We start from the raw sequence: 24,061 nt of genomic DNA on the forward strand, positions 1-24,061 counted from the left end.
CTTTGTCCTCCCCAAGGGCCTTGAGTCCTGGAGGTCTGGTTTGATTTGACTTTTTGACTTTTGACACTTATTTATCCTCAAGTATCCTGAAGCAATAACCTTTTACAATTTTCTTTTCCTTTCCTACCACCACAATATTGGTTCAGATCCTTGCCTTACATTAAGGCTGTGTAAATAACCTTGCCATAAATCAGAGGACTTCAGATAGGAGGGGAATTTGATAGTCGATCAATATCACACCCCTTCTCCTCACCTCTTCTGAGAAAACCACGAAGCCCAGAGCTATAAAGTGACTTAGATGATGACACCAGAGGGACAAGTAGAACCCAGGCTCCTGGCCTTCTGGCCTGTGTCCTGTTTCCACACCCTGCCTTTCATTTTGAGGCTTAATCTCTCATCTCTTAAGGCCACTTCATAGTCTGTCTCTTTTCTATGTTAATAAGCAGAACTAGGCTTGCTCAAGAATATAGGAAATTGCACATTTATAAGACATCAGATTGATTGTGAGCTGTGCAAAGCAAAAAGATTACATTTCCTATAAATCTGTTTCCACTCAGTCCCGGCCAGGCCAAGCCAGCAGCTCACATTTTGTGGCCATTCCCACCGCCCTGTGGCGGAGGCCTGGTACTGCACACATGGCATGAAACAACCCCCAACAAGCAGCAGGCTGCAACTGGCTTGAAGGTATTTATGCAAGTCGATCTTGACCCACGTTTTTTTCTATGTCCATGAATGGAGCCATATCGGCCTGACTTGAGCATTATTGTTGCTGAGATACAAGAAGGTCACAGAGGAAGTAGAAGAGGTAAATCCCTCTAAAATTCATGACTTTTATTTCATGAGGATCATAAAAGGCCATTGAGAACCATCCTAAGAACCTGCTCATTATAAATCACGCTCTTTAGAAACTACTTTGGAATCTCTGCATCCCTACACCTGTCTCTGAGCTCCACATGTGGAATCTCCCCAGACCCCATGACCTTCATACACATTTCACCATTTCCCAGAGCCAGATTTTTATCACACAACCAGAATCCCGATTGTCAGTTGCATTAACAACAGATCAAAAAGATGTTTTTTAAAAAAAAACCCATATTGGTTCATAGTCTCAGAGGTAACACTGATATACACAGGCCTATGTGATTGTTTATAGTGGCTCTGGTACCATCTAGAATTTCAGGAAATTTAATTTATAGATATTGTAGAAATATAGAAGATGAAAACATACCTTTCATGAATGTCACCCCCTTTCAAGTTGTGAACTAATTATTACAATATATGAGTATATGTCATAGGCAGAGCATCTATGAATAGATTTAAAAGTCACCCCCAAATCATACCAGTTCATCTGCATTTACTGATATATACAGTGCTCATTAGGAATGGCCTGTGGTTCATGTGAATGGATACAAGAACTCATAACTGAGGACGGCTTCTTCCAGAAGAATCAAGAGTGGCTGAAAAAGTAAGACCATTTGTTATTTCAAACAACAAGAGGTCCAGAAGCAGTATGTTTTCAAAATTAGCTCAACACTGTCATTAAGGACCCAAGTTCTTTTTCTTTTTCTACCCCAGCCCCCATACTCAAGGTATTAGCTTGACCCTCATGATCATGTAGACACAGCAAGGCCCTGTTGAAAAGAGGGACATTTGCACCTCTGTGTCTCTTTTATTAGAAGAGAATACCTTTCCCAAAAGTCTCCAGCAGACTCATCCTGGGTTCCCATTGGCCAGGATTGGTCACATGCTGTGTCTTAGCTGCAAGAGAAGTTGGAAAAGTACTCCACAGGTATCCCTATTGTAGGAGGTGGGTCCTGCCAATGAATAGGGGGATGAGTTGTTAAATGACTGTAGAGTAGACCACTAATTACACTACCAATAAGTGTTACCTTTTCATAGCCCAACCAAGTAGTTACAGATTGTCTCTTTTCTTTTTATTCTCAAGTGATCAGTATTGCAATTTGAACTCTTTCCCTGTAAGCATCATCTTTCTATTGCATGGAATACTTTTCTCTCTGTACATACACATACATATACACACATACACATACACAGTGCATATATGCACATATATACACATACATATACACATACACATATACACATGTGTACACACATATACTCACAAAAACACATACATGTACATACATATACATATACACCCATACACATACATACCCATACACACATACATATACATACATGCATACCTACATACATATACACATGTGCACAAACATACACAGTACACGCATACATGTACACATATACACATGTACACATATATGCATATACATGTGCATATACACACACATGGCTTCACTGCATTCATTCAGCAAGCAAATACATATTATGTCTATTAGGAGCCAGACATATTGCTAGATGCTGAGGATACAATAGTAAATCGGGTGGGCATGGTTTCCACCCTCACAGAACTTATGTCCAGGAAGGAGAGATACCCAGGTCGTAGGTAATGGCAGGCTGTGATGGAGCGATGAGGAATAAGATGGATGGGGAGTGGCCTCATGTAGAGTACTGAAAGGCCAGGTGGGCAGCCAGGGGGTCAATTCCTTCCACCCCTCCTTGGCCTGAGACAGGGCACACGTAGTGTCCACCTTCCCTACCCCAGGCAGTGGGGAAGCTCTGTGGCTCTGAGCACTCGGCAGTTGGCCAACCTGGGGAGTGCAGATGAGAGCCAGGAAGCTTTGGGTGACCTTAGGAGCAGCAGGAGGGACAGAGATCGACAAGCAAATTTGGGAGGTAGAAGAGATGAGAAGAAGTTAGAGGGCAAGAGGGGAGACGAGTAAGTAGACCGAGAAGAAGGAGACTTTGTAAGAAGGGCAGTGTTTCCAAAATACCTTGACACTGGGATTTGACAGCACAGGAGGGGATGAGCCAGAAGTGGGTGACAGAGTAGCCTGCCCATCCTGGGACTGGGCCTGAAGACAGCTAGGTATGGCCTTGGTCTTCTGTTCCAAATAGTTCCCCCAAACAGGCAACCTCCTAGCAGCAGCCAACACCTCTTTTCCCTTGGGATTTGAGGGAACAAGCGCTCACTTGTTGTACCCAAGGCCCCTTCAACCACAGATAACATACAAGGAGCACATGAGGTTGAGCTTTAAGAATGGCTGTAAGCACTGACAAGGAATCATTTTAGGAGCAGGGTAAGAAGGCCTTTTTCCCAAAGCATGCCTTCTCTTCAGCTTGCAGCCCACTGAAATTGTTCAGATCAAGTCATGGCTTTTCATTACTTAAAGAAAAATAAAAGAATTCAAGATTCTGAGGTCTGAACAAGATCCTTTTGAGATTACCTCCAGATAATCTTGGGCCTGGGGGACTGGACCAGGAGAAGGTTGTAGGGATGGGAAGGAGTAGCCTGGAGCCATTGGACCAGAAGAGTGCAGAGCTGGAGACAGGGAGACCTGAGAAGGAGCTTTCCAAAACAGAAATGTTAAAATCTTAGCCATCGGTAGAACCAACTCCACCATCAACAGGTAATGTTCCATAAAAAGAAGAGTTCAGTTCTAAGCCCACAGGGCTGAAGCCAAGAACATCAGCCCAGAACCAAGGGGAGGGAACAGAGCTTAGAGTATGTGGATTTCATATTTAAACCGGATACTCATCCACAGCAAAATCCCAGAAACCCAGATGCTGGGAATCATGAAGCGCATCAATTGCCAATTGTTGTCTTGGTTTCACTGAGATTTTACGTTGGGTAAGTTATCTAATTTCTCTGACTCTCAGTTTCTTCTTTCTTTCTTTCCTTCCTTTCTTTCTTTCCTTCCTTTCTTTATTTCTTTCTCTCTCTCTCTCTTTCTTTTTTTTTTTTGAGACAGAGTCTCGCTCTCTCGCCCCGGCTGGAGTGCAGTGGTGCGATCTCGGCTCACTGCAAGCTCCACCTCCCAGGTTCACGCCATTCTCCTGCCTCAGCCTCTTGAGTAGCTGCGACTACAGGCGCCCGCCACCACGCCTGGCTAATTTTTTTTTTTTTGTATTTTTAGTAGAGACGGGGTTTCACCATGTTAGCCAGGATGGTCTCGATCTCCTGACCTTGTGATCCGCCTGCCTGGGCCTCCCAAAGTGCTAGGATTACAGGCGTGAACCACCGCGCCCAGCCCAGTTTCTTCTTTAAAATGGGGCCGTGGACATTCACCTAGTGAGATGAAGGCGTTACAGGTATGCAGGTTGTGGGGTTGCTGGATGTTGTAGCCACTTCTTTGAGAAATACTAAAGTTTTCCAGACCGAGGAAAAGGTTATCTATTTGTCTACAGCTCTGGAGCTTTTGGCTAGTGCTTCTGGGTTCAAAATCTCTTAGCTGTGTCTCCGCTTAAGGATAACTCTCCTGGGATTCTTTATAATTCCATGAGGTTGCTCGCCTCACACTTGTCAGCAATCTCGCTACCTCAATGAGCAGTTTCTTCTGTGAAAAAGAAATGAGGTTTTCAAATCCACCTGAACAGGAAAAGGGGCAGCCCAGACCCCCAGGGAATCGCCTAATTGGCAGCTCAGCCCCTACCCCCAAGTCCCCACAGGCCCGCAGCCCATCTGCTCCTGAACCGACTCCAGTCCCTGGACTTCTTCCCAGGTCCTAAACTACTTAAAAACTCCTTAGACAGAATGTTTCTTTTAAAACAGATTATCATCCATTTCTCCCCCACACTCCCCCATGAAAGGGCTCCCGAGTTTTGATTGTTTTTTTCTTTTTATGATGAATGAATTCTATCGTGTGTGTGTGTTTTTTTTTTGATGAATGAATTCTATCATGTGTGTGTGTGTATAATGTATAATGTATTGACATAGAGGGATCTCCCTAGTTTTCTCATAAATGAATTATATAATGTAGTTATATATAACTGGAAAATGTATAATTATACAATATATGTAGTTATAATTAGCTATATGCCTCCTCACAAGAATGAGAGCTCTTTGAGGACAAGGATGTGTTTTCTCCATCTCTCTGTTTCTATAGCTAAGTTTTAAAATACATGCAAATTAAATGAATGAACCTGTCACAAACTTGTTGTGAAAATGAATATCTATTATAAATTTTTTAAAAGGACATTTAAATAGTTTTAAAGTAATAAAGCCATCAGTTTTCTATAACAAATCAGGAAAGAAATGATTTCTAATCTTCATGTTATTTCTAGCAGATCACAAAGTTCAGACCCATAAAGAAAAAGATGAATAAATGTGAACACAGAAAAGTCTTTAAATATTCGTATTATCGGAAAATGAAATTATAAACAAAATCAAAAGTAAACAACAAACTGAACAAAAACAAGACCAATACACAGGAGGGGCAGATGGTAATTCCCTTCATTTGCAAAGCATTTATACAAATCAATATAACAAGGTGAACAAGCAAATGGAATAATGAGCATGGGACACAGCAGCTTACAGAAAAGAAGAAATACAGTGGCCATGAATGATCTTAAAATGAGCTAACTCATTCTTAATCAGTGAATTGAAAATACAACTACATACAATTTTCAGCATTCACATTGGCATTTTAAAATTTTGCTAATACGCCATGTGAATTAGATTGTGATAAAAGAAGTACTCTCACACGTATACCTGCACAACTTCCAGAGGGAAATGCAGCTGTTTCAATCTGTGTTTAAAATGCACATACCCTTTGGTCCAGAATCTTACTGGTAGAAATAGTCATTATGGATATGGTTTTTTAATACCATCAAATATAAAATACACAAAAGATTCTTCTTGCAAGCATTGTTTATAAGCAATGAAAGGCTTAATTGTTTGCTTTTTCATAGCTTATGTTGAGCTAATGAGTTTCATAAAATTAAACCGAATTGTAGGAGTGTTCTGTGCTGGAAAACTTGGTAACTGGCACATAGGTTCATCACAAAATTAACACTTTGTTACTTAAGAAATAGCTATATATTGGGAGTCCGAGGTGTGTAGATCACCTGAGGTCAGGAGTTCAAGACCAGCCTAACCAACATGGTGAAACACCGTCTCTACTAAAAATACCAAAAAAAAAAAAAAAAAAATTAGCCCAGTGTGATGGCATTTGCCTATAGTCTCAGCTACTCAGAAGGCTGAGGCAGGAGAATCCCTTGAACCCAGGAGGCAGAGGTTGCAGTGAGCCGAGATTGTGCCATTGTACTCCAGCCTAGATGACAAGAGCAAGACTCCATCTCAAAAAAAAAAAAAAAAAGAAAAAGAAAAAGAAACAGCTATATAGATGAGAAAGCGGTAATTTAATCACCATAAAAAGTGAAAACTACTAAAATTCTGAAAAATCTGCCCTCACCATTGCCCTTTATGAATTACAAGCTCTTTATTTTAGCCACAGATGACTCTACACCCTTCCAGGAACACTCCAGCACTTTCATTTCATAAACTCACCCATTTGTTCTTGCTGTTCCCCTGTTCAAATGCCCTTCCTCCCTCTCCCTATCACACTCCAGTTTGTCTGCTAATTGAAATCCAACACTGTTCTTCAAAGAACAACTCACATGCCACCCCTTTCTTGGGGATCAAGCCTTCACAATATTTGACAGGCAGTTCTCTATCAGACTCATTTAACTCTGCCTCAGACTACAGTTAATTGACTGGCAGTGGTTGACAGCACTGTCCGTGTCTTCTGGAATTCTCCATAGGATCCCGCACAGTTCTGCACAGACTGGATACTCAGTAAATGAAAAATCACTGTGCTTCTCCCTGAACACAGAAAAGGAGTAAAAGAAATAAAAATGGGGAGATTGGTACAACTGGTTTGGTGGCAGAAGCAAGAATAATAATGCCTGTCAAAACCAGCAACTCAGCCCTTTTGAGGGAGGCGGGGAAGCCCTGATTTGTAGCATTTACTGATCTCCTTGGTGTAAATACTCCCCATATCATGGCTGATTTCCGATTACCAACATGCAGACACAGAACTCAGAGTTGGGAAGAGATGCATGCAATTGGCTCTCTTGAGCCAAGCTGATCTAGTGCAGCAGTGTTCTGGTCCCCAGGTTGAAAGTTACATCAGTTATTTGCATAGTGCAACACATGTTCATACCAATGAATCTTAACTTTCAATCAAATAATAAGGTAAGTTTATTGACATACATTTTACATCTTCTTATTTTGGAGAATTCAGGACACACTACCCGCAAAATATGGCACCTTGACATCTTGAATATTTTCAGATAAAGGAACTCAAGAAAACTGCACAAGTAGGAAGGTCACTGTGACCCTCACGCAGCCTTTCTCCCCTGAAGTAGGTCATAAAACCTCCAAAGGATTTTCTGACTCTCCCCAGAAGCAGGTCACAAGACCCTCATGTGAGAGGTGCCCTCCCTATACCTGGAGGACAGGAGCGTCCTTCTCTCTGAAGACACGAAAACAGAGAGAATCTGCACAAGCAGGTCTTGGTAAGTTCCTGCCTGTTTATTACACTTAGCTCACTCCCCTTTGTCCACAACTTTCCACTCTTCATCAAACCCACTATAAAAAAATGCTCAGGTTCAACTGTTTCTTTGAGTTTTCAATTACTTTTGAAGGCACCTGAGTGATATAAAATTTATATTAAATAATGTGTATGCTTTTCTCTTAGCAAACTGTCTTTTATTATAGGGGCCTGAGCTAATGACCTTAGCATGGTAGAAAGAAAATTACTTTCCTCCCCTACACTATATAATTTAAACAAAGTATTTTTGTCAGATCTTTTTCTTCACTAAGTGTCTAACTTCTTCCCATTTCTGGAACTGCTCTGAAACTCTCCCATTCACAATCATGTGGCTGAGAAGAACCAAGAGACAGAAAGGCATGATAGAAACAAAACACCTAGTGTGGCCGGGTGTGGTGGCTCATGCCTATAATCCCAGCATTTTGGGAAGCCAAGGTGGGCCAATCGCTTGAGTTCAGGAGTTCAAGACCAGCCTGGGAAACATGGCAAAACTCTGTCTCTATCAAAAATACAAAAAAATTAGCCAGGTGTGGTGGCACGAGCCTGTAGTCCCAGTTACTTTGGAGGCTGAGGTGAGAGGATCACTTGAGCCTGGGAAGCAGAGGTGGCAGTAAGCCGAGATTGTGCCACAGCACTCCAGCCTGGGTGACAGAGTAAGACCCTATCTCCAAACAAATAAACCAAAAAAACAACCACTTAGTGTTTATTAACATATAGTTCCATGCAGCTATATGCTGCACTCTACTTTTCCTTTGCTTCCTCTCCTCCTGGGTTTGAGGCAGAAGGCAAGCTGGGGAAGAAGGCAGAAGAAAGGAAATATAGAGGAGACAAATACACCTAGAGTGGGCTCACAAGGCGGTAATCTATACACCTAGAGTGGGCTTGTAAGGCTGTAATCTATACACCTAGAGTGGGCTCCCAAGGCTGTAATCTATACACCTAGAGTGGGCTTATAAGGCTCTAATCTCTCTCTGTCATTTCCTTGCTGACGCTGAACTGTGTGTTTCATGTGACTAGAGATGAAACAGGAAAGGGAATGCGTTGGAGCCATTTTTTAAAACTACAAACTGTTTCTCACTACCCTCTGGGTAAGTAGAATGTTCTTAATTCCACTCATGTTACCTACAATGGCCGTTCTCTTACAGACATCATGTTTTTAGCACGTTATTCCTAGCAAAATCCCCAAGGAGTGTAATAGTAGGTTGCCTAATTCATTCTGTTTGAGCATTATGAACTCAGAATCAATATTTGAATTTTTAGAGCTTCCTGTTTTCAGAGTCCTGTGTTCCAGGCATCTGATAAGAATGACTGCATAATTGTCCTAACTTCTGTAATACTTTTGCTCGAGTATGATCTCGGTATACAGACTTAATGCTTATGACAGGTCCACATTATTTGAGTAAACCGATTGAAAACCAAGAGCTGATTGAGAACGTCCCTTAATCTAGCGGCTGCATTATCAATTTGTGAGCATGTCCACATTCTGGTCTTTGAGGGAGAAAATACAGTAAAAAAAAAAAAAAAAAAAAATGAGGTCAAGCTGGGATTTTCTAGCTCAGTGATTGGCTCTAAATGAAGGCATATGAATCTTTGCCTTTCGGTTGTGTGGAAAATCTGCCAGGGGCTAAACTTTGTTGTTAGATTGGCCTAAGCAAGCAAGACAAGCTAGCTGGGATGGGAAGGAGAGGGAAGGAAGAAAGAGAAGAAAAACGTGGCTTCCTGTGGTTTTACAAGGGTCACATCAGCCTCAGGAAGTAGGGACATTGCGAGCAACTAAACATATGCAAATGAAATGCAACTTTTCAGAGGGAATTTGTTAAGTTACTTCATTAGCACTGAGGCCAAGGGCAGTCCAGAGCTAATGCAAAGTAGATCTGACGGTTTCCCTTTGTTTGCGTCGAGGTCTTCAGGGCAGTGGGAGTAAAGGGGTGAAAAGGCGGACAGCCATGTCCTTGAAAGGGAGCAGAACCTGTAAGGTCTCCCAAGCCCTTTTGGCTTGAATGCTGGCTTTTGTCTCCCGAGGGCCATTGCTCTGCTCCCCGAGAGTCCAAGTAATGAAGCACTTGATTAAGACCTCATTAAAAGTTCATTGACATTCATGACTGGAGCCATCACTGCAGCCCAGAGAGATGGAGGGAGGATGGGGCCAGCCTAGAAGCATAAAACCTGGGTTTAAATACTCTTTCTGCCACTTCACAGCTTGGTTTTCTTCCTGGTACATTTTTAATCTCTCGGTAATGCCACTTTTCTCATCTCTAAATAACTCCAGTTCTGTGCCACTGTGAGAACGCGCTTTGAAAGCCTTAGTATTTTGTGTGTCCTTATTCTTTTTTTTTTTTTTTTTTTTTTTTTTTGAGACAGAGTCTCGCTCTGTCACCCAGGCTGCAGTGCAGTGGCGCAATCTCGGCTCACGGCAAGCTCCACCTACCGGGTTCATGCCATTTCCTGCCTCAGCCTCCGAAGTAGCTGGGACTACAGGCGCCCGCCACCACGCCCGGCTAATTTTTTTTCTATTTTTTTTTTTTTTTTAGTAGAGACGGGGTTTCACCGTTAGCCAGGATGGTCTCAATCTCCTGACCTCGTGATCCGCCCACCTCGGCCTCCCAAAGTGCTGGGATTACAGGCGTGAGCCACCACGTCCGGCCTGTGTGTCCTTATTCTTGTTTTCCACCCCTTTGCTGTCTTCATCTGGTTGTTTCAGGCTCTTTAGGACCTGCTGAGGACATGTATTTCTTGCATCACAGCGCTGTGAAGCACCCTGAGACTGCACAGGCCTCTGAGAAATACAGACAGGTTATAGGGAAAAACAAGAAGCTCTAGCCTCTGGCAGATGTCCATGCAACCCACCCAAGCCCCACAAAGGAAACAGTGCAAGCAGCTGAGAATATCTCTAGACTGTTGATCAGACCTTGCCCAACCGACATTCACAGGCATACAGATAGCCAGGTGTGCCCCTTTGCACAAATTCGAGTCCTTCCATGAGATCCAGGAACCAAGCACAGCAGCAAATCCTAAAGTGTTCCACAAAACACTCATTCTTCCAGACTGTTGGCGTTCTACCATTGACGGAGGGTGGAGCTGAAAATTCTGGGCAGCTTTCCTCCAACGAGCCCAAGAATCTGAAAGGCCACCCTGACACCCACGTACTACTCACCAGACACAGCCAGCGTCACTGGACAGCCACAAGTTTTGTTTTTGTTTGGTTTTTGAATTCAGAGCTTCTGTTTGAGGCTTAGAGTTTCCAAGATGGAGCAGGGACCCCTCTTAGGGGCCTACGGGGCCCCCTAAGCATAAAGGAAAATCTTGAGTTCCTTCCAAAGAAATTCCAGGTACCTAACTAGCCCTAAGAAGTAAATGAACAACTTGATAAGCAAGAAAGTAACAGTGGTCTACAACAATAGCCAAGTAAGTGAGAGCCTTGAGTGATGGTATGTTTGATTCCCTATAGAAACTAAAGATAACATCTTAACATATATCCGTGAATTGTTTTCCAGAAGCCCTGACCCCGACCAAAGGTTCCCCTGGCACATCCACCTGAGATAAAGAGCTGAGGACTGAATTCTGATGACCATTCTTTGTTCTAAATTCCTTCCTCAGAGGCCTGGAGCAAGTCACATCCCCAGGCCAGACCTTAACATTCCTTCCTGCTAACCCCAAGTTTTTAGACAAAGCTTCACTTCCTTAACCAGTCAGGAATCAGAGTCTTCCTCCCGCTGCAGAGAACCTTGGTGTGAAAGTTCTGCTTTATTGTGCCGGGTGAGCGGACCCCAGGTTAGTTCGGTGACAGAACTGAACATCCACAAGTTTTGTTTTGGTTTGGTTTGGTTTGGGGGCTTTCACCTTCTCTTTGAGGCTTGTACTTTCCAAGGCCATACCCTAGGAAGCCAGAAAATGACTCCATCCACTCCAGACCCTCCTTCAGGTTCTCTGAAGATTCTATAAGAATTTCCATTCTCCTAACATCACCTCCAACCTCAAGTAACCTCTCATTCTTCCTTTTTTGCCTAGAGTTGGTATCTTCCCTTGTTCTGGGCAAGGGAAAGAATCTTTTCCTCCCAATATTATTGAGGTATAATTGACAAATAGAAATTGTATATATTTATGGTGTGGCACGTGATGAAATACGTATACATTGTAAAATGGCTACCACAATCAAGGTAATTTACACATCCATAGCCTTACATAGTTACTGTGTGTGTATGTGTGTGTCTGTGTGTGTGTGTGTCTCTGTGTGTGTGTGTTAAAAACACTTAAGATAACTCTGTAAATTTGAAGTCTGTAATACTTGAAATTCTGGGCTATTGTTGTCATGCTGTTAGTTAGAGTTCCAGAAGTTATTTATCTTATACCAGAAAGTTTATATCCTTCTTACTTTATCAAAGATTCTTATTTCATCCCAAATTCTTCCTATGCTCTGGTAGATGGTATAAACTTCATATCTGATTCCTCCACTTAAAGCCAAGTTTCTGAAATAGTGAAGCTTTTTTATCTCTTGCAGAATAGCCATACCTTTTTAAATTTTGGTTATAGATTTATAAAGCTCTGCTTCAGAGCTCAAAAATCATTGGAGCAAGTTTTTGTTCTCGCTGATTTTTCCCTAGCCAGAGGCAATATTTATAGAGCCTCCCAATGGCTACGTGGCTGTTTAGGGGTGACGATAGTGGCAGTAGCTGGTGACAAAGATTTTTGGCTTGGCCAAACTTTAGTCAGGCTCCTGAACCTTCTTCGAGGGCCATCTGTGTACTTCCATGTAAGATTCAGTCATGGCAAAGAACTCTGCTAAGTCAGTTTAACAAGAAGCCCTCATCCTCAATATCTGATCACCCTCAATATCTGATCAGATTCCTCATCCTCCACTAACACCTAGGTGATATCAGGTCACCTTGGTCTGTGTTGAGCAAAAATGCTCTTAGTTTAGTTTGTCCAGAATCCCCCTTCCCCCTGATGTTCCTATTAGTAACTTTCTTTCTTTTTTTTTTTTCTGAGACGGAGTCTTGCTCTGGAGTGCAGTGGCCCGATCTCAGCTCACTGCAAGCTCCACCTCCCAGGTCCACGCCATTCTCCTGCCTCAGCCTCCTGAGTAGCTGGGACCACAGGCGCCTGCCACCACGCCCGGCCAATTTTTTTGTATTTTTAGTAGAGACGGGGTTTCACCGTGTTAGCCAGGATGGTCTCGATCTCCTGACCTCATGATCCGCCCACCTCGGCCTCCCAAAGTGCTGGAATTACAGGCGTGAGCCACCGCGCCCGACCTCCTCTTAGTAACTTTCTACCCACTGACTCTACTCCTTGGCTGTAAATCCCACTTGCCCATGCTGTATTTGGAGTTGAGCCCACTTTCTCTCCACCACTGCAAAATTCCACTGTTGTGGTCCCTATTTCTATTGCAATGTTCCTGAATAAAGCCTTCCTTGCTGTGCTTTTACAGTATTATTGAGTAATCTGGTTTTCTTTTATACTGGAGAAAGAGGGATTAGAGGTAAGTGGAATTGGTATCTATTGGTTAAAGCCAAGAAATTAACACTGTTCATTCTTCTCCTCCCAAATTCAAAATGAAAAGAAAAAAAAGACATAAGTGTCAAATGGAGATAAATATTAGCTTGATTATTGATAAAAGTGGGATTGAATGACAGAGCCTAGAGGTACAACCACATGGACTTGCTAATTCTTTGCCCTGGGGATCAAGCATTTTCTCCTCTGGTCACCGGTCCAGCCTGAAGCCTATGGGCCTTCCCAGGTGCAATGCTCCATGGAGAAGCAAAGGAAACTTACACCCTGAGGAGAGGCCAGTTCCAAAAGAGATCCAGCAGGCCTGGCATCCACTTTGACACTTACCAGTTAAGCATGTCATCAGGGAGAGAAGGTAAAATAAGGGTCTAAGGAAAACCAAACAGAGATTGTTAGCAGAGGTTGGGAAGGGTAGCAGGGAGCAGGAGATAAAGTCAGGATGGTTAATGGGTACAAAAACACAGACACAATGAATAAAATCTAGAATTTGGTAGCACAATAGGATTACTGTAGTTATCGATAATTTATCCTATATTTTCAAATACCTTAAAGAGTGGAATTGGAATGATCCTAACCCAAGATAAAGGTTTGAGGTGATGGATACCCCAATTTCCTTGATGTGATGATTACTTATTGCATGCCTGTATCAAAACATCTTATGTACCCCGTAAATATATATAACTATTATGTACCTATAACAATTAGTTTTAAAAAGAAAATGAAATGGAATTGGAAACACATCCCATTTAATACAAAATCATTACTTACTAATATTATTATAATAAAATTCTGACTTCTGTTGGCTAGTATTTTGTTTCAATAATTTTGGATCTATATTCACAGCTTAGATTGTTCTCCATGCGTGTACTTTGTGCTATGCTTTTCCAGTTTTATTCAGGTATTGTGGTTTCATGGAGTGCCATATGACTCTGGTTTACTCCTGCAGACCTCCTCCCCCTACCTTTCTGCCCTAAGAGGCTGACTGCCGTGAACCACATTGAAACTAGTGTCCCAAAGAGTTAAAGACACAGAAGATTAACAGAAATTCTTGAGTTTGCAGGACAGCAGATAAGAAAAAAAAAAAAAACTTGCTGAAATGTTGAAACTCCTTGCTTATGAGATAACAAAACTGGCTGAAATTGGCCGGAACCAATATGGCTGACTGGAGTCTGTGCAGAACAAGCTTGCTGACCTCACAGCCTAAGTTTCCACTGAATGTTTCATATTAACGCCCCCTGAATTTGCACATGTGACCCATGAGGAGGCATGAAGGGATAACTGTGCGTACCTAATGACATACCAGACCTCCCCTTTCCTTCCACCAATCACCTGCTAATCCCAGAATCCACCCATTAAACCTTGGCTAATAAAAGTACTGCCATAAAGCCAGCATAGGAAGACAGATTTGAGCTGGACTGCTGTCTCCTTGTTGGTCTACCTACAATAAAATGCTTTTCTTGTCTCAAAACCCCAGTGTCATAGCACTGGCTTCTAGTGCATAGGGCAATGAGCTCTTTAGCTTGGTAACCACATCGGTGACTCCCTTGACCTGTGGCTTCTGGTTGGCTTTGACCAATGAGAAACTCAGGAAGAAAATTTCAGGGTGGAAGGAGAATGAGACTGGAGCATTTATTCTCCCATCCCCTTCTTTGCAAGGTCAACAGAAGCTGTCTGAGTCCCAGGAACAAATATCGCAGCTGCTGTCGGGCCTTCCTTCCAGGTTCTGAAGGAAACTTTCCCCTACCCCTTCAAGCCTTGGGTTGGTAATAGGACTGCACTACCCAGCTGGCATTTCCACACCCTTCCCATACCGTTATTGCCTAATGTGAGTGTGACATCTGTTGCCTGCTGGGAAGCTGACTGACACACGTGGTTAAGCTGACTTAACAAAATGAGCTGGAAAGCTTGCTATTTTTATCTATGCTCTGGAGCACATTAACTATTGCAAGAATTTTCTATTCCTTGAAGGTCAAAGAACTGATCTCTAATTCCCTCTTAGCCTAGTATTTTAGGAATAAGATGGTTCTCTGACAAATGTTTAAAATTTTTCTCATGGTGTTTTTTTTTAATTTAGGTTTCTTCTTCCTCAGTCAAGTTTAGTAACTAATATTTCCTTTAAAAATCACCCATTTCCTTAAAAGCTTTATATTTTTTAGCATGGAACTATTTGCAGAATTCTCTTTTACTGTTTTCATCCATTCAGAAGAACTTCCAGATTAATAAAAACTTTGCATGACACTCAGAAACTTTGTAAGTAAATAAAAAGAAAAACTAGTTTTGTTCTTATGCAATTGATCCATGAAGCATAATATTTTTTTGTTATACTTGGCCACCCAGAAACTATGTACTACTCTCTTAAATTTGGGGACAACTGCATCATTTAATCTGCATTCCCCTAGGTAGAAGTCAGAAATTCACTCTCCCAGACTCCCATGTAGCTAGGGCATAGATACGTGACTTAAGCTTCACCAATACGATTTATTTACAAGAGACTTTGGGACTTCATGATGCAAAGTCTCAGGCACCAATTGAGAGCAATTTCTGGTGCAGGTACTGAACACAACATCTAACTTTCAGAGGCTACATTGGCTTTAAAGGTTGTATCCAATGTCCAGATTTAAGTAACAAGTTGAGGTCTCTATGCTTAGTTGTGGTAGTAACAGCGTCTCCATGGAAACTCTCAGATGGCTTAAACTGGTAGTTGTAACTGTCTCCATAGCCTTATTCTCTGGCCCCCTTGGAGAATGGGTGAGGTACCTGATTGTTATGGGCTAACTGTGTACCTCCCAAAATTCATGCTGAAGCCCTAAACCCCAGTATCTCAGAATGTGATTATATTTGGTGCCAAGGACTTTAAAGAAGTCATTAAGGTAAAATGAGGCTGTTAGGATAGGGACCTACTCCAACCTGACTGGTGTCCTTGTAAAAAGAGAAAGAGACACCAGGGATGCCCACACACAGAGAAAAGGCCATGTGAGAATAAAGCAAGAAGGTAGCCTTCTGCAAGCCAAGAAGAGATGCCAAAGAAAACACTGAATCTGCTGACACCTTGATCCTGTGCTTCTGACCTCCATCATTGTGAGAAAATAAATGTCTGGTGTTTGTGTCACCCATTCTGTGGTATTTTATTATGGTAGCTCTAGCAAGCTCATACATTGATGTTGTTCAATATATTTATTTCCTGCTTGAATTTGCTAAAATGAGCTTTGTTGTTGGAAACTAAAAACACTGATTCTGCACATTATGTAATTGTAGGAATGGTTTCCATTTCTGGTATGGCTGGGTTAGTTCCTACTGGACTAGCCCTCTTGCAGATGACAACTATAAACTCTGAACACACTTTTAAAATTGGATATTTCAAGCATTTTTTAAAATTCCTCCAACTACTTAAAGGCATTGGAGAAAGACCAAAAGTAGGCATATACCAGAAGGGGCTTGACACTTGATAAATGGGAACAGCACTGGGTGTTTCACATTTTCACAACTTTTAGGCTGAGGCCAAGCCCTAATCTTTACCATATGGGGGTGGCTGAAGCTTTAATGAAAAAACTTACTGATTTTTCTGGTACAAAGAACTATTAGAAAGAGTTTGAGGTGACCACAAGCCGTGGACAGTGAGGAGGGAGACTTAGAAAGGACAGAGACAGGCCGGGTGTGGTGGCTCACGCCTGTAATCCCAGCACTTTGGGAGGCTGATGCAGGCAGATCACGAGGTCAGGAGATCGAGACCATCCTGGCTAACATGGTGAAACCCCATCTCTACTAAAAATACAAAAAAATTAGCCGGGCGTGGTGGTGGGCACCTGTAATCCCAGCTACTCAGGAGGCTAAGGCAGGAGAATGGCATGAACCCGGGAAGGTGGAGGTTGCAGTGAGCCAAGAACGCACCACTGCACTCCAGCCTGGGCAACACAGCAAGACTCCGTCTCAAAAAAAAAAAGAAAAAGAAAAAGAAAGGGCAGAGCCATAGAGGGAGCACCAAATCCTGAATATATACTTAGATCAAATTTCTGGCTAATCCCCTCCCTATGCATGTGTGGGACAGACCCCAAGCAGCTTAGATAAGAGTAAAATAACTGAACTGAAATTCATGTTGCTGCCCAAGAAACATAATTTTCAGTTTTAGTCTAATTAAATCAATTGCCCACTAAAACAAACAAAAATCAATCCTCTTAAGAAGAATATAAAAGAGTCCAGAGTTTCCACAATACATTTTTAATGTCCAGGTTACATTTCAAAAATTATATGACAAATTTGTAAAAATGAAAATGTGACCCATTCTCAAGAAATAAAATAATGGAGAGTTTGAATTAAGATGTTAAACCATCATTATAATTATGCTATAGGAAATAAATAAAAATATACTCACAATGAATGAAGCAATCATTATTTCAGTAAAAAAAAAACTACAATAATAAAAGGTCCACATGGAGGTTTTAGAACTAAAAAATATAATATTTAAAATAATTATATAAATACACATATAAGAATTCAGACACATACATGGGAGTCTGAAATAAGAAAGAAACAAGAGCAGCAGCTGCCACAAGGAAAATGTTTTCTTTCATCCAGATTTAAAGTCCTGATTGGCCGGGCACAGTGGCTTATGCCTGTAATCCCAGCACTTTGGGAGGCCGAGGCAGGCAGATCACAAGGTCAGGAGTTCGATACCAGCCTGGCCAAGATGGTGAAACCCCTCTCTACTAAAAATACAAAAATTAGCAAGGTGTGGTGGCACAGGCCTGTAGTCCCAGCTACTTGGGAGGCTAAGGCATAAGAATCACTTGAACCCAGGAAGTGGAGGTTGCAGTGAGCCGAGATCGCACCACTGCATTCCAGTCTGGGCGAAAGAGCAAGACTCCATCTCAAAAAAAAAAAAAAAAAAAAAAAAAAAAAAAAAAAAAGTCCCGATTATCCAGAACCTAGGAAAAAGCACCTTGGCCATGGTCCCTCAAAGACTGCCAGATACTTAATGAGAAGGTAAACAGAAGAGGCAGAGAAGAGGTACTGAATCTATTAGAAACATTTGTTGCCACAGTTGCCTTATTTTGCCAAGATAGAACTTTTTGAAGGTGATCTTCTACCATCACTATCACTTTGTTTAAAAAGAGAAACTTATAAGTAACAAAAATATAATTTCAGAATATATGACAGTCTCCCAAAAAGGACAGATGACAACTTTGCATTGACATCTAAAAAGGGAGCAAGGAGGAAGAAGATAAATTTGAAAACTACTAACACAATTCAAAATGTTATTTAATGGTACTGTACCATACACAATTGTTTTCTTGATACAAATCTTTCCATTTAGAATCTATATTTCACAGTGCAATGTATTTTGATACTTCATTTTTGTTTTAATCCAGTTAAAATGTGAAAATCCAATTTCACGTTAAGAAAAAAACAAAATTCCTAATATCATTTTACTTAATTTAGAATATTCTGAGTTAACAGAGACATCTCAGGAAGAAAAACTTAACTTCTTCTTGAATCTTTTTACCTATGGGCTGGGAAGAAATCAGATGACTGCAGGAATGGTTCTGATGGTAAAGGCCACAGAAATGGGACTAAAGATACGTCCCGATTGGTCGCATCGCACCTATGACCCAGTGTAGCCCAGGGCCCCGGACACTAATGTGAAGCCAAAGGAGTTTATTGCGTGGGTGAAAGTTTTGCTGTGGATCAGCCATGGGAAAATAGCTAGTATACATTGATCTAGTGCCCTGAGGAAATACAACAACTAGGTTCTCACTTGGTCAGTGGGGTATCTGAAATCCAAGCTTGCATCTCAGAATTCAGTCTGGCCATCAGGGTTGGCTAATACTGATGAATTAGAGTCCAACCACTTCTGGTCCAAGAGTGCTTCAAAGTTTCCTCTGTGTCATTCATAGAATTCTTTAATATTCCACCCAAGCCTGGGACAGCTCCTAGTTTTCCGGTATCAGCCAGGCCCGCTTATCTGCTCAAGAAGCCTATATATAAAATTTGTATTGTACCAAGCCTTCTGAAGTGGATAATTCCTTAATTTGGAAAAAACATATAGATAAACTTTCCTAGATCAGTTCATCTTAACATTTATCTATTTTCTCATCATTTTTATGTGTTCTAATTTTGATGACTTTCAGCACAAATCAAAACATTGTTTACTGCCTCCGTTTTTGAAATTTGACGGTGGTTTCATCCTCATGCAATCTCACACTGTTTTCTCTTCATAATGCACATTTTATCGCTGCAATGTCACCTTGAGTCTTTCAATACCAGTTGAAAGAGCATTGTTTTATCCTCATATCCGTTCTTTTCTTGAAGCTATAGCTTTTCCAATGGCTATGATCTATATGTTTTTCCCAACCTTTCAAAGGAGGTTGATCTAGTATTTGGAGTAGAGATAGATTTTTCTCAGAAATTGCATAGTTACCATTTTAATATTTTATCATTCTGAGGACATAATGGCTTAAATTTACTCTAGCATCACTTTGTCAGATTCAAGACCCAGCAGCAGGAAGAATAAGGGAGCTTAGTCCTTTCTTCACAGAGCTCCTCTTTCATATTTGTTGTGGCAATTGGAAGATATGTAGCCAGTGAGCTGGTGGCTCACTACCATGCCTCTTTATTGGGGCATATCTGTGGCAGCTCTCCTGCTTTATGCCAGCCAGGACCACCCTGGGAGTATGCATCACAGAGCACTTCCCACTGTGCGACCTCCAACATGAGGTGCTTTTCCCAGAGGTATAGGTAGCATTTGCATCCAGCCCATCCCTCCATGGCCACAGGGCCCAATACCCACCCTCTCCACTGTCCCTTTCTGATCTAAATTAAAAGGTATCAAAGGATGCTTTAGATCAGAATGGCATTTATTTCTTAAATGAGCTATTCTTTTCCACACAGGAAATATATGTTAGTTTAAACATTCTCCTAATGTTGTGTATTGAACACATTTCTTATATATTGAACACATGCAACTCAAAGTGTCTAGTGTCTAGTGTGAGGTCATGTACTAATGTGGATACACATTCTTCGTTATTTTTATTTCTTTATTTTTATTTTTTGTAGAGACAGGGTCTCACTATGTTGCCCAGGCTGGTCTTGAACTCCTGGGCTCAAGGGATCCACCTGCCCCTGAAATGGGAAAAGTTCCCTTATCCCCCTCGCAGGGTGTGAGACAGAGGGAGTGGCTTGCTTCTTCAGTGCCCCACTGCTGAAACCTCTAGGGGAGCATACAGACGGGAAGGTTGTGGGGCTCCAACCCCACGGCAGTGTCTAGGGGTGGATGTTTACAGCTCCCGAAGCCTCAGTGGGCACGTGCTACCATGTGCTCTTTTAGTTATGCCATCTGTAGGTGGCTTGTGTTAACCAGCTCAATTAGACCCTCTACCTTGTTGCAAGGACAGAGAGCTTTCTGTATCCCGGGTTCTCGCCTTGGTGTACTGGAAGAACTGGATCACACCTGGGCTTGGAGAATGAGTACAGAGTTTTATTGAGTGGAGGTAGCTCTCAGCAGATGAGGGAAGGCAGAAGGGGGATAGAGTGGGGAGGTTTTCCCCTGGAGTCAGGCTGCTCAACGGCCTGGGCTCTCCTCCAACTGCCCCAGCGAAACTCCACATCATTCTGCTTCTGCCAGTCGGTGGCCAGCCAGCGGTCTGGGGCCCACCGGTGCATTCCTCTTGACGTCCAGCGGCTTGTGTGCATGTCTGCTAGGGTCTCGGGGGTTTTTATAGGCACAGGATGGGGGCATGGTGGGCCAGGGTGGTCTTGGGAAATGCAACATTTGGGTGCAAAGGCAGGAGTGCCTGTCCTCACCTAGGTCCGTGGTCACAGGCTGGGGAGTGGAGCCCTTATCAGGGACCATGCCCTCTTCTACGTAGCACTTCTCTGTCTCCCTTCCATATCACCTCGACCTCCCAAAGTGCTGGGATTACAGACATAAGCTACCATGTCTGGCCCAAAATTTTCTTTATTTTTAAATAGATTTGATAATTTTTAAACATTGAGACTTATGTGCATCCACACATAAAGAGTTAAATGTGTGGGATCAAGCCACCATCTTTACTCAAGTATAAACTGCAGTGCACATAGGATTCGTCTGACCAGCAGACTTCCCTCAGGAAACCACTCCCTTGTTCCTCATCCATGTGTTTTAGTGGGGCTCAGGTCATGCTCACTACCACAGAAGTGAACACAAGACCTACATCTGACCAATCAGTTGTCCAGTCCCCACTCACATTGGTCTGGAGATGAACACGTGATCCAGGGGGAGCGTCTTCCCTAGAACCTGGCTTTATAGGAGCTATGAGAAAGGATGGTCCTCCTTCTCAGGGGTCATGGGCTCTACGGACCATATGGGCTGGTGGCTGCTGGAGGCCATCTTGCCTATGATCTATGGCAGGAAGCTATCTGAGAAAGTTGCCAGGCAGAGGCAACAATTTCCACGATATGAATAGAGAGACAGAATCCTGACACTGATGTTACCGGCTCTGTTACTATATGTGCCTGATGCCAGATCTTTCTTGGATATTCCATTTACATTTGTAATGTAATTGCTAATAAATTATCTACCTCATTTAAGGTACTTTGGTCTAGATTTCTGTCACTTGCATGCAAAGTTGTGCTGACCTTTTTATAACTGCAGCCCACCTTCTTCTCATTTCTCTTATCTCCTCATCGATGAACATTTTTAATAACTTTCATATTCCACCTGATTTATATGAATTACATGTTCTACTCCATATTTCCTATGCTAGCTGCCAATCACTATGAACAAAATAACAAGAAGGGGTGGATTGAATGAAACTAATATTTACTGAGCACATGTCATGTGTCAGGACACATACTGGGCCCTTTATCTCAATTACCTTATTTAATTTTCACAGCCATCCTTTGTTATTAATTCTCACAACCACTCTAAGGTTGCTATTATTTTCACAGTTTTATGAATGAAGACCCCCAAAGTTTCTAAAATGAAGTCTAAAATCTTTTTGCCATAATCACTTGCTTCCTCTTCCCTTCCCCCTTAATTTATCTCACAGGGATGAAATGTAATAAAGTCAGGTTAACACGACACAGTGCAGAACGCTACATTGCCACCCTTAGGTTTCGTGAAAATCTTTGATCTTTTGTACTATCTTTCTTTGATAAAAATACATATGTTTTTGTATATTAAAACTTTTTAAATTGGGATATGCCTATGATTGATTATACATTTGATGAATCAATTCCTTTTTCTTGAGGAGTTCTTATCAAGTCAATGGCACATTATACAGTAGAGCCATGTGAGAGTTAAGGAAACAAGGCAATGAACTCCTTCTACCGAAGCCAAATTATGCTACTTATTTATGCCTCAGAGTGAATGAGTTCATCTGATGGTTTCTCAGCTCCCAGTCAACAGATATTAGGCACAGAAGCCTTTGGAGTGGAGAAGGGAGTGATACATCTCCTAACCAGGGCATTCCCGAAAGAAGTATTTAATCACCATCATTTGCCCAAAAGGTGCTGTGAAAATGCCAGGAGACTGAGAACTCAGAGTTCGGAGAAGGTTGTGGGCTCTAGGAGGTGTGCAAAGGTGCTAGAAGTGCTTCTAGAAGGACAGAGGAAAACAGAAGGCAATGCACCTATGAAGTCATCATGGCTCCAGGCCACCCCTGCCCTGGAATTTCTTTTGGGCATTCTGCTTGATATTCGCATAAGAACTTTAATTTATAGCACCTGAGATTTTTTCTATAAAATGTTAGCTGTCATTTACAGATGCAGGCTTTTAAAAAGGGATAAACATGAACTCCAATCTATGAATGTAAAACCCATCATTTTTGTTGTTCTCTGGCTTTATTCCATGTGTCTATGACCAAGGTGTTTTTCTCTCATTGGTCATAGTCCATGGCATAATGTCCTGGCCTTATATCACTATTGACTCCTACATTAACTTAATGACTATTTTAAATAGCATCCTTTCAATGATCTAATTTGATTCTCACTGTCCTGTTGCAAGATAAGGAGGGTAAATTTTATTATCCCCCTTTTTACTCAGTTGACTTCCCCAGAGTAGACTCTCAGTGACTATTTATTGAATACATGAATACATAAAAATGAAGACACTGATTGAGAGACGTGCATGTGTGTGTGTGTGTGTGTGTGTTATTTGCCCTAGGTCATACTGGACATCAAAAGCGGAATCCAACCTTGCTGGTATCCAGCCAGAATATTTTGCCTGCAAATAATAGTCTTTCCTGAGTCTCAACCTGCCCATCATCCTGGCAAAGGATCAAAATGACCCCAAGGTGAATGACGCAGGAATCAAATGGAGGAGAAAGTAAGTTCTTTCACAGCTCTGGGTCTTCAGAGCCAAGTCACATACTGGGAAATGCCGGTGACACAGATGATGACTCTCAGCCTTATCACCAGGCCGATAGGAGGGAGGGCAGAAGTCTCCACTCTAGAGAACTGAATCTCTTGATCTTCTGTGAGATAATACTTTTAATTTTCATCAGTGCAAGAGCATGTCTCAAACCAGAAGGGGTTTGCCTAATTCATCATGCTCCCAGGCCACACAATGGGACCCCTGACAAGCAGAACATTGGAGAGGGAAAGAAATGGACATCATGAATTCTCATGAATTGCAAATGCTTCTTCATTAAAGGATGTTGTCTTGCTTGGGACCATCTGCTTGATATAACTGGGTCCAGGTTCTCGGGCTGGAAACATCTGCCACTTTAATAATTTTACCTCTTAATTAAAGCACAACAAAAAGGAGGCCAAACATAGCTATGACCCTGGACATATCAGAGTTTAGGCACATAGACTGGAGAACACACTCACGTTGGTTCTATGTGAATGAGAACACACAGGTGTGCTGTTCACTCAATGCATGCACTCCCTACCCAGATGAAACAAATTTAGGTAATTGAATCCTCTATCCCATTGACTTGAAGTACTATTTCAAAGGCACTTTGTCTTGAGTTTAATTGATCTTCCACTGGTAGGGCCTCCTGACCAGTTGTCTTTAAGCTACTCTGCCCTGCAGCATCTTGGTCAAGTAGTTAATGATCTATAAATAAACACTTTAATGCACTAGGGGAGATGCTATTTAAAGAAACCCCACAGCTAATCCTTTTATACCACAAAGAATTCTTCTGTAATGCAAACAG

The 24,061-nt window shown here is 41.9% G+C and overlaps 1 long non-coding RNA gene across 1 annotated transcript, besides 2 other annotated features; it reads left to right on the forward strand.

Moving 5' to 3' along the window:
* The first annotated feature begins 4,072 nt into the window (after positions 1-4,072).
* Positions 4,073-10,528, forward strand: LOC105371547 (uncharacterized). The gene is made up of 4 exons (XR_934244.3): positions 4,073-4,176; positions 7,272-7,383; positions 8,436-8,506; positions 10,463-10,528. It is a non-coding gene; the product is annotated as an uncharacterized LOC105371547 (long non-coding RNA).
* Positions 8,808-9,752: an enhancer, noted in NCBI's record as "OCT4-NANOG-H3K27ac hESC enhancer chr17:15083139-15084083 (GRCh37/hg19 assembly coordinates)". NCBI's record gives its function as "activates a minimal SCP1, AML or CMV promoter by ChIP-STARR-seq in naive and primed H9 embryonic stem cells {active_cell/tissue: H9 hESC(naive and primed)}" and the evidence as "EXISTENCE:reporter gene assay evidence [ECO:0000049][PMID:30033119]".
* Positions 9,058-9,352: a silencer, noted in NCBI's record as "tiled region #522; HepG2 Repressive non-DNase unmatched - State 22:ReprW, and K562 Repressive non-DNase unmatched - State 23:Low". NCBI's record gives its function as "represses a minimal TATA promoter and a strong SV40 promoter by Sharpr-MPRA in HepG2 and K562 cells {active_cell/tissue: HepG2 | K562}" and the evidence as "EXISTENCE:reporter gene assay evidence [ECO:0000049][PMID:27701403]".
* Positions 10,529-24,061: the final 13,533 nt, after the last annotated feature.

The sequence above is a fragment of the Homo sapiens genome, chromosome 17, assembly GCF_000001405.40.
Source record: "Homo sapiens chromosome 17, GRCh38.p14 Primary Assembly".
Taxonomy (NCBI): Eukaryota; Metazoa; Chordata; class Mammalia; order Primates; family Hominidae; genus Homo; species Homo sapiens.